Source organism: Homo sapiens, chromosome 6 (assembly GCF_000001405.40).
Source record: "Homo sapiens chromosome 6, GRCh38.p14 Primary Assembly".
Taxonomy (NCBI): Eukaryota; Metazoa; Chordata; class Mammalia; order Primates; family Hominidae; genus Homo; species Homo sapiens.
In genome coordinates, this window is record NC_000006.12 from 100091155 (window position 1) to 100102522 (window position 11368).

An 11368-nucleotide genomic window follows, 5' to 3' on the forward strand; every position below is an offset into this window, starting at 1 on the left:
ATCCATGAGCATGGGATGTTTTTCCTTTTGTTTGTGTCATCTACAATTTCCTTAATGAGAGTTTTGTAGTTCTCCTTATAGAGATTTTTTCACCTCCTTGGTTAAGCATATTCCTGAGTATTTTATTTCTTTTACAGCTTTTGTTAATGGGATTGACTTCTTGATTTGAGTCTCTGTTTCATTGTTATTGGTGTATAGAAGTGCTACAGATTTGTGTACACTGATTTTGTAACATGAGACTTTACTATTAATAAATTCATTTAGCAAATCTAGGAGTCTTTTGGAGCAGTCTTTAGAGTTTTCTAGGTATAAGATTATATCACTGGCAAACAGAGATTATTTGACTTTCACTCGTCCAATCTGGACGCCCTTTTTTTATTTCTCTTGTGTGACTGCTCTGGCTAGGCCTGCCAGTACTATGTTGAATAGAAGTAGTGAAAGTGTGTTGCTACTCTGCTACTCTTCTTTATTAATGATTTTAAGGGTATTAACCCTACTTTTAGAATTAAGTTTCATAAGGGTAGGGACCTATCTGTTTCTTCTCTCTATACTCAGTAACTAAAACAATGTCCACACACAGTAGGCATTCAATTAATACTTATTTTTTAGAAATATTTTATTATTTGGGCGGGCGCAGTGGCTCACGCCTGTAATCCCAGCACATTGGGAGGCCTAGGCGGGTAGATCACAAGGTCAGGAGATCGAGACCATCCTGGCTAACACAGTGAAACCCTGTCTCTACTAAAAATGCAAAAAAATTAGCCAGGCACAGTGGCGGGCGCCTGTCGTCCCAGCTACTCGGGAGGCTGAAGCAGGAGAATGGCATGAACCCGGGAGGCAGAGCTTGCAGTGAGCCGAGATCACGCCACTGCACTCCAGCCTGGGTGACAGAGTGAGACTCCGTCTCAAAAAAAAAAAAAAATCATTATTTACTATTATGGTTAATTTTATTATTATCTATAATAATAACCACATCAACTACAGTGAAGGATTTCACTCTTGCCTCATACTTGCTGGCAAAATAATTAAGCCATTGAGACCAAGACTAGGAGCAGATTTGCCACTAGGTCATGTGAACTGTAGTAGAGTAAAGGAGGGGATGGGGGAACTCTTTAGCTCGCAGCAAAGTAAACTCAGAGCCCCAGGTCTGTGCTCCAAGCAAATGGGCTCTGTGGTGGTTTCAGAGGGCAGATCTGGGGCCAGTGCCAGAAGGTAGAGGGAGGTAGCTATCACCTACATGTGTAACTTGCAGAGCTGAATGACTGCAGTGGACTGCCTCAAGAGACGGTTAGTTAATTAGAAAACATATCTAATAGTAGCAGTCAGCTACTTATGAGCTCTTACTGTATGCTTGAAGCTGAGTTTATCATACAGAATCTAATTTAATTATCATAACAACTCTATTAGACATACTATCACCTCCAGTCTACAGATGAAGAAACTGAGGCTCAAAATTTGGACAACAGTATTTTGCCAAAGGTCCCATAGCACATAAGTGGTGATGTGGGATTTGAACCAAGGCTGTCTGTGTTCAAAGCCAGAGCTCTGATCCACTATATTAAACAATCTCTACTGCCTTTCAGAAGCACCTCATATGTCCAAGGCACTGTGCTTCAGATGCTACCTCACTGAGTCCACTGACAACATATTAAGGTGGATGTTATTATCTACATCTTACAGATTTCGGAACTGAGGTTTGGAGGGATAAGTGGCTTGCTGCAAGTTCCACAAGACAGAGAGGCCAGATTTCAACTCCAGTCAGTCTGACTCCACCCATGCCAATCCAGAAGAGGCTAGAGGCTCATTGACCAGGCATTCTAGAAGGGATTCCTGCAGCGAGTGGAGGCTCCTTCATTCTTTCACTCAAAAACCTTACAGGGCCGGGCGTGGTGACTCACACCTGTAATCCCAGCACTTTGGGAAGCCGAGGTGGGAGGATTGCTTGAGCCTAAGAGCCTGAGACCAGCCCGGGCAACATAGTGAGACCCCATCTTTACAAACAAAAAATTTAGCCAGTCTTGGTGGTGTGCTCCTGTAGCCCAAGTTACTTGGGGGGCTGAAGCGGGAGGATCACTTTAGCTTAGGAGGTCTAGGCTGCAGTGAGCCATGATCAGGCTGCTGCACTCCAGTTGGGCAACAGAATGAGACCCTGTCACAGCCCTTGTGCAGTATGTCTGCCAGTTGAGCTCTGGATCTTGTAGGACATTCAGGGCCATGTTGCAGGTTCCAGTGGCCATATCCTGCTTTCCTAAGTGGAATATTTTGGCCGGGTGATACAGGATGGGAGGTTGGTTCTTGGCGATCTCGAAGGCCTTGCCAAAGCAGTCCAGAGGGTCGGTCTCCGAGTACTCACAGTATGGATGCCCATGGTGGTGATGGATAAGGGGTCCTTCCTCTCCAGCAGCATTCTGTTGCAACACCAGGCCAGGGCTCGGTAGTGGGGGAGGTCCTCAGACTTGAGCACTTGCTGGAGCAGGGCCAGCATGCAGTTGAAGGTGGGCAGCCTTTTCTGCTTCTCTCTGCCCAGCTCCAGGAAGATGCCATCTAGCCTGATGAAGAGCATTGCCATAGTGAAGTACCAGCCCCTTTTCTCTTCCATTTGGATCTGCTTCCCCCTTTGGCACCATCCTTCCACCTTCCTGAGAAAGCCCCTTTGGGCATATTGAGCCCAGCTCAGCTGAAGCTCAAGACCCCCGTGAACTGTTCTGCCATTATTATTCTTGCCAACCTTGCTGTGCATTCAGAACGACTTGGGCTTCAATTAATATTTATTATTAAACACGTTACAAATAGTTTTTTTCCAATTTTTACATTACATTTTAACATTGTTAATTGGTACGTACTGAATTTATAGAAATTGTAAGTCAATGTGTTCTTTACACTTTTTAGTAAATATCTGTTTCTGAAAAACAGAAAAATCTCATTTCTGTTCTTAAGATTATTTGAGATTTTTACAATTTCAGTAGCATAACTAATGCTTCAGAGCCCTGGCTGGTGGAGGAGGGGTGAGTGAAGGAAGACATAGGCTTTAATTATAGGCTGGCACTTACAAGCTGGTCAAATTATTTCACCTCTCAGCCTGAGATTTCTTATCTGAATATTAGAGTATTAATTATTCCTGCTCAGATAATCACTGTGAGAATTAAATAAATGAGAATCTTTGTAAAGTACTTAGTACAATATGCAGAATATGCAGTCTAGTAATAATGTTACCTTGGTTCTGATAATAATGATGACAATAACTTCTCTAGATTTCAATCTTCTTCTGTAAAATGAAAATAATGATGCCTACCTCATGTGAATATTGCCTGGAACATATTAAACACTCAATAAGTGACAGTTATAAAAAATAAAAATTAAAAATTACACAAAACAAGAGTGATTTTAGAATTCTCTCTCTCTCTCTCTCACACACACACACACACACACACACACACACACACACACAGAGATTCCGATATGCTTACATCCTTAGGAAAGATAATCGAGCCTTCTGATCCCTACCTCCTCTCCATTGAAGATGACTGTTTTAACATTTTTAAAAATAAAATCTACTAATCTTTCCCTTTGAAGGAATCTGCCTTTGAAGTCAAGCTAAAGAAGTCTATACTCATACTAAAATTTGTAAAAAAAAAAAACACTCATCAATCCTTTATTGTAGTTTTTTTTCAGTTAATTTCTAATTCAGATGGAATACATTATGGTAAAAATTATGAGGTTTCCAGTTGATTAGCAAAGTGTCCCAAGTGTCTTTTTGTTGCTAATAGTACTTCAAACTTTATTAAATGATTTCCAAAGAACATTATATCATCATACATCTTCCACATTTAGTAAGTATATTTTAGGTATTTATTTTTGTGTTGTTATAAATAAGACTTTTAACTATTATATTTTGACTAATTATTGATATTTAAAATATTTTTGTGTATTTAAAAGGTCTGTTGTCTTACCCATAACTTTTTAATAAATTACTTTTAATATTTTTTCAATTAATGGAAGCTTTCAAGTATGTAATTATATTACTTGCAAATTATAATCATATTTGCAACTTTTTGTCTAAAATAACTTTGACTTGAACTTCCATTACTTTGTTAAATAATAATGGAGATAAATATTCCTGATACTCTCCTCGGTGTCCTCCCATCAAGCGTGACATGGGCTGTTGGTTGGAAATAGATTTCCACCTCTCCCGCACAATAAAGAAATATGTTATATTTCTATGTTATTGAGAATTTTAATCAGATATAAATTTTAAATGTCATCTTTTTTTTGAAATCTATCAAGATCTTTCCTTTTCCCACCCATTTGTATAATAAGATGTATTTTCATCTTGCTAATTGTATTAGTCCATTATCATACTACTAATAAAGACATACTGGAGACTGGGTAATTGATACAGGAAAGAGGTTTAATTGACTCACAGTTTTGTGTGGCTGAGGAGGCCTCAGGACATTACAATCATGGTGGAAGGCACCCCTTCACAGGGCGGCAGGAGAGAGAATGAGAGCCAAGTGAAGGGGGAAAACCCTTATGAAACCATCAGATCTTATGAGAACTCACTCACTATCATGAGAACAACATAGAGGAAATCACCTCCATGATTCAGTTATCTCCACGTGGTCCCGCCCTTGACATTTAGGGATTATTACAATTCAAGATGAGATTTGGGTGGGGACACAGAGCCAAACCATATCACTAACCAATGCTAATATTAAACAATACTCAATGGTACTGAAGTATATCTCTTGTGGTGATTGGGTTTTTGTTGTTATATTGCAGAATTGTATTTTAAGATTTTTGCATCTACATTCAAAACTATATATTTTGTCAAATTTTTTTTATTATATACCAAACTCAAAAGTTTTTTCTTTATCTCTATATTCTTCATCTTCATTCTCTCTTTGTCAGGTTTTGGAATTAAGGTTATAATTGCTTTCAAAAAATTGGAAGTTTCCTTTTCCTTTCTGTTCTGGAAGTGTGTACAAATAGCATGAGACTAATTGTTCTTTGTGGGTTTTAATGAATTTGGACAAAAATCTTTCTGAGCCTAATGCTATGTTTTCAAGATTGTTCTTTCAAAACTGTCATTTTGTTATATTATTAATTTGTAAAAGTTATTGTCTTTTTAAAGTAGAAAATTATTGTAATTTATATTTTTCTTAAAAATTATTCTTTCAGAATTTCAAATGCAGTTAGAAAATAAAATATTAGTAGTGTGTATAGTTGTAACTGGCTTTATTACACAAGGTTATACAAGAAAAGGGAAGAACACAAGCAAGAATTAGCACATTTGCAAGAGAAGGGATAGGGAATAAAGTCAGTCCAGAAACTGGACTTAGAGGGATTGGAAATGCCAATGACTCATAGGTCCTAAACGAGAAGATGCAAAACTTTAAAAGCTTTTAAGTAAGAAAAGCTTGTGAATACTTAGCCTTGAGGAAAATACCATATTAAGATTGTGGCCTTTCTTCCTAAGTCTGGTGCCCTCAAGGAAGATGCTTTAAATTGAGAGAGAAAAAAAAAGGTATGAGGGTAAGGAGAAAAGCAAGAATCTGAGCTCGATAATTATATCTAGAAACATGAATTTCATTAGCTTTCTATTGCTACGTCAGAAATTAACATAAATTTAGCAGCTTTGAACAAGGTTTGTCCCAGTTCCATAGACCAGAAGTGTAGCCAGATTATCTGCTCAGCTCTCACATGACTACAATTAAGATATTGGTCTCATCTGAGGCTCAAGTTTCATTTCCCAAATCACTGGTTGTTGGCAGAATCAGCTCCTTGATGTTGGAAGACTGAGGTCCTCACTTCCTTACTGGCTGTCAGCTGGGGGTTGCTTTCAGCTCCTAGAGGATGCTCTCAGGTCCTTGCAGGTGGTTCCCTCCATCTGCAAAACCAGCAGTGGGGAATCCTCCCTATGTAGAATTTCTCTGACTTTAGAAAGGGCCCTTGAGGGACTCACCTGATTATGTCAGGCCCACCCTGAAAAATCTCCCTCTTTTCTCTTTTTAGAGACAGGGTCTTGCTCTGTCACCCAGGCTAGAGTACAGTGGTGTGATCTTCACTCACTGCAGCCCTGAACTCCTGGGCTCAAGTGATCCTCTTGCCTTGGCCTCCCAAAGTGCTGGGATTACAGGCATGAGCTACTACACCCAACATAATCTTCCTTTTGATTAACTCAAAAGTCAATTGATTAATAACCTAATCACGGAAATAATGCCTCATGATATTCACAGGTCTGCTTAAACTCAAGGAGGTGGCATTATATAAAGCATGCATGCCATGAGGCAGGAATCTTGAGGGCCATCTTAGAATTCTGCCTACCCCTGGAGCTGACAGGAATAAATAAGTTAGAAACCTGCTAAGGTATGGAGAGAATTTTGTCTATGAAACAACAAAAATAAAACAAAAATTTAAAAATATGTTTTGAGACTCCTAATTTGCACAAGCAATAAATACTGGATGTCACAAGCCCAGGATCCAGAACCACACAGAAGATTATAGAGCCTCAGTCGACCTAGGTCTCCAAATGTTTGCATGGAGTAGGTGCCCAACCTTCCCACAACCCCTCCCAGGTCACTCTCCAGACTTAATGCACATGAGAGCTGAGTGTGTTGAGCCATGAGATGTTTGATTTAGCGTTCCCAGGTGCTAGTATCACCATAAGCAAAACAATACTCTGTGGACAGTGAAGCGACTAAGTAGAAGGAGCTTCGGGTTCCCGGATGACCCAGTGAAGTCAAGTTACATACCTTCACTGGACTGTCTTTCCTGTAGTGTTTAAGCCTTTAAATTCTTAGAACTCTCTTTCTTTTACAGTAGTTTTGCCTAATTTTTATAACTCTCTTTTGTAGTAGTCTTGTCTATACCCCAACTAATAAATACATTTTCTTCTAAATAACTTTTATAGTTTTGTATTTGTACCACTCATTCAGGAAATCTTAGGTACTACCTTTAACTTCTTATCTATATCTGCCTTGAATTGTTATTTACATCTTTTATTGTTAATTACTTTTCCAAATGTTTATACCTTTTCCCTCTAAAATTTTAAGTCCTGTAAAGAACAGAAACCATCTCATATATTTTTATATTACATGATCCTTAATACTGTTCCCTAGAAACAGATGAGTTCAGTATATGTAATTTTTGGCTACTCTAAAGCTCTTGTATTCTTTTCTAGTTGCTTATAATTCAAGTTTCTGTCTCCAAATATATAATATTTTCTTCTCTTGAAACAATGACATGAACAAAATATGTTATTAGTCTAAGTTTTAAAAACTGCATTTTTAGTTTTTTTTGGTGTATTTATGTTTTGATAATGGTATTCCTGCCTTTAATAGTGAATGTATTCAGAGCTTATCCAGCCACAATGGCAATATTTTATGAGCAAAGACAGTCTTAGATAAATCTCTAACAGAACCTCCCCAATTATTTTGAAAATATTCCTTCCCAATCACTTAACAGGACTGTATTCCATAAGAGAGAATGCGACCTAGCAGTACTAGGAAGGATAAATTGATCTATCAGGATAAAGGGCACATTTTTTATCCTCTCAAATGCGATGAAAACAAATTTACATTTACTCTATGAAGACTTCAGTTACATGAAATCAAATATTCAGTTGAAGTTTTTAAAAATTAATTTTATTTCACCATTGGGCATTACTTTCTGATTTCATGAAGGTGTTCTCCTTGATATCACATATGTAGACAGCTCCAAAGGACAGAAGACATGAGTTTGGAAACCAACCGAGATGTCTCCAGGTGGCTCAGGGTCCCCATCAAGGTGGAATCAAATGCACCACTCGCTCAGGCTGCTGACAGCCCCCATCCATGAACTCTTTCAGGGTCCTTAATTTCAGGTTGGTTACAAAGACCAATAAAATGCTGCATTTTTATATATAAAATTTACTTTGAGCAAAGATCCTAAATTTATGAGGTATAATTTACTGAGATTATTGGATATAAATTACCTATGTAACAATGATTTAAGTAGAAAAAACAATAAATCATATTTTTAACTTCTCACATAACTTATTCTTTTATTATTATGCAATGCCAGTATATATTTTGCTTTAGTTTTCTGAGAAAACAAACAAACATTATTTAGCTGTAAAATTTGGTGGACATGCTGAAACATAAATTGAGGTTTCATCTGGATGAATGAAAGGATTTTTGAATAATTATAACTGTTTTAATCAGTTGCTGCTTTCCAGCAAGTACTGATCATATTTCAGTTGGGTGGGGTGGGAGGACTTATCTTTTTACCTATTACGTTATATAAGTTAATTCACTAAGTCAGTGTATTAACTGCATAAGGTTTATTTCCTCTAATAAGTACTAAAAGGCTTCAGTATTTAGTATTTTCTGGAATATGGATTTATTACACTCTTTTGGTTTTCTTTTTTTGTTTTACCATGTATATATTCGCACTGTTTTAGACTTTGATCTGAATGTTATTTCAAACTATAGTGCCACCTAGTGTTTATGCAATTTATCTGGGCCACCCTTTCTAAGAAATAAAGTGATAAGAAGGATAAGTATTTTAAAATATGAAAGCAACATTATTTCCCAAATTTTTCATATCAATGGGTTCTAAGCAAACTAAACTTATGTCTTAAATAAAACCAACCTTCTACTTTTAACTAAAAAAAGCCAACCAGCTATTTTTAGTAAGCTTTCCCTAGGTCATGCTTAGTATTCTACAGACTTAACTGAAATGTTTGGAATTCAGAGTGTCACACATTGTCAAGTTCCGAGTAGCTTGTTAGCAGACACAGTACTTAAAATCATAGACTGCTGGAACTGGAGTGTCTTAGCTGAATGGAGATAAGGGACAATGGTGAATAATGAGCATCATTATAAGTATGCCACACTCTTGTTTTCTTTTCACCAGCTTCTTATTTGTTCACGTGATTTCAAATTCTGCAACCACATGTAACTATTCCAAAAGTCAAAGAGGAGAGATTTTAAATAAATAAAACACTTACCTGAAGATAAGATGTTATCTAAGAAAATAAGTGATCCTGGCCGGGCGCCGTGGCTCACGCATGTAATCCCAGCACTTTGGGAGGTCGAAGCGGGCAGATCACCTGAGGTCGGGAGTTCGAGACCAGCCAGACTAACATGGAGAAACCCCGTCTGTACTAAAAATACAAAATTAGCTGGGTGTGGTGGCGCATGCCTGTAATTCCGGCTACTCAGGAGGCTGAGACAGGAGAATCGCTTGAACCTGGGACGCCGAGGTTGTGGTGAGTCGAGATTGCACCACCGCACTCCATTCTGGGCAAAAAGAGCAAAACTCCATCTCAAATAATAATAATAATAATAATAATAATAATAATAATAATAATAATTGATCCTAAAGTTAATTCTTTACAGACATCAATCCTTTAGAAAGAGATACCAGAATATTTGCTCCTTCTTTTTTAGAAGAAAATGTATCACTTAGTTAGAACTGATGATGAACCTTCAGCTTAACTTTAGATGTCATCTAAACTAGAAAGATTATTTCAGAAACTTCTGATTGTTGTTTTGGTAACTTCTCACCTTCTTTTTGGTTGATGGTTCTTGATATTGTTTCAGTTGGAACACTTTTGTCTCAAATGGTAGAAAACCCATACAATCAGTTGCCTGTGTAATAAAAAACTTACAGGGCTGGTTTGATCATAACTTTGGCTATGTTTCTTCAAGTTCTCTTAGCTCTGCTCTCCTTCCTGTAGGTTTTGCCCTCCAGCTGGCTTTTCATAGCCTGATAATACAGTCAATCCATTACCCCTGCTGTTACTTCCTACTGAGGAAGGGAAAGCTTCTCCTTCCTTCCCCTTGAACAAAGCTCTAGGCAGGGCTTCACTCTAATTGGACAAATTAGATCATGTGTTTCATTCTGGGACCAGGTCAGGAGAATGGGATTATGCTAAATGGTTTAATACCATTAGCAGTTTTCCTTGGGGTACAACTGGTATGAATAGCAACAAAAACTCATGCCTGAGAGACTCAAGGTTCTGTTAAGAAGTGGGACAGTTATATTTCATTCTTTTCTAGAAATGTGACAATCCTACTTAATTGTAGTCAGGTCATTAGTTCAATCATGGCTTATTCACTTTAGTAATTCCAAAACACAGGGCTTCATACAAAGTAGGTGTTTAATAAATGTATTTTTAAAGATAAATTAATGAGAAGTTACATGACGAATTAATAATGGCTTATTTGCTATGACTTAATCTTCTTGGTTTAGAAATGTCTTCCTAAAGCAATGGATTGAGAAAGTGGTCATATTTAAATGGAAGCAAAAATTATTTTGGTTATTTTTGCTATTGATTGTGATAATAGCTACCATATGTTGTTATTACCCTATACAACTAAACTGAAAGTTGGAAACCTGATTCATGGAAGAAACTTTACCCTAAATATGGGGATTAAAGTATAAGGAAGTGGAAGACAGCATAAAATGTTCATGTTATTACTTTTCAAAATTTGTTTCAGATGTCATCACAAGAAGTAAAAACAATAAATCTGGATATATTCATTGAAAGTATGTGACTAAAATCATGTTGATATCATCTTTTAGCTGAGTCAATGTTAACAAATAAAGTTGGAAACCTGAGACTTTTTAGGTTGCTAATGTAAGGTATTACTTTGCTGGCAAGCCACAGTGAATAAAACCAACCACATCTTTAGTATAGTCCAAAGATATGTCACATAGAAGTAGCTTTATGTTAAGCCTAGCCCACAGTATCATACCGACCATGTCTTCAGAGATGAGATGTCCCCTGCATCAACTGTTCGCAATACTTTTTCCAGTGAGTCATCTGTTATAATTGACTGCTGTAAATATGAAGGAAGTATACAACATGTAAAGCCCGGAGTTTAGTTTATTCAAGGAAGAGCTAGCCATCTATGTAGCTAGAACCCCAAAAGTAGTTTCCAGTTTTGTTCCTCAGACACCCAGAATTTGGCGTAGCTTCACAGACTGACATGATGAAGAGATTAATAGTGGACATGTTTCCACCTTTTTACCTCTTTTGTCTGTTTTATAAATTCAAATTTTGTATGTTGAGATTCTGCACCTAGTTTAAAAAAAAAAATACTTTGTGGCTAAAAAGTTTTGATGGTCACTGACATGCACTACAGTTGAGTACCCATGCCTGGAGGGGAGAGCAGCAATAACTATGGTAAGGCGGTGAACATTTCAGTACCACAGGAATGCCGAGGTCTATACGTTAACAAAACACTTAATGGAAAGAGTATTCTCAGTTCATCATCTGGATGGATTATTTGCCACTCTAATATTACCTGTATATGACTCTAAATTCTCAAGTAAACATATGGAATATTACATGATTTCTAAAACAAAAAGCCATCTGATG

General features: G+C 37.3%; 1 pseudogene; it reads right to left on the reverse strand.

Annotated features, from left to right (window-relative positions):
- LOC100420742 (tetratricopeptide repeat domain 22 pseudogene) lies at positions 2126 to 2659 on the reverse strand (annotated as a pseudogene).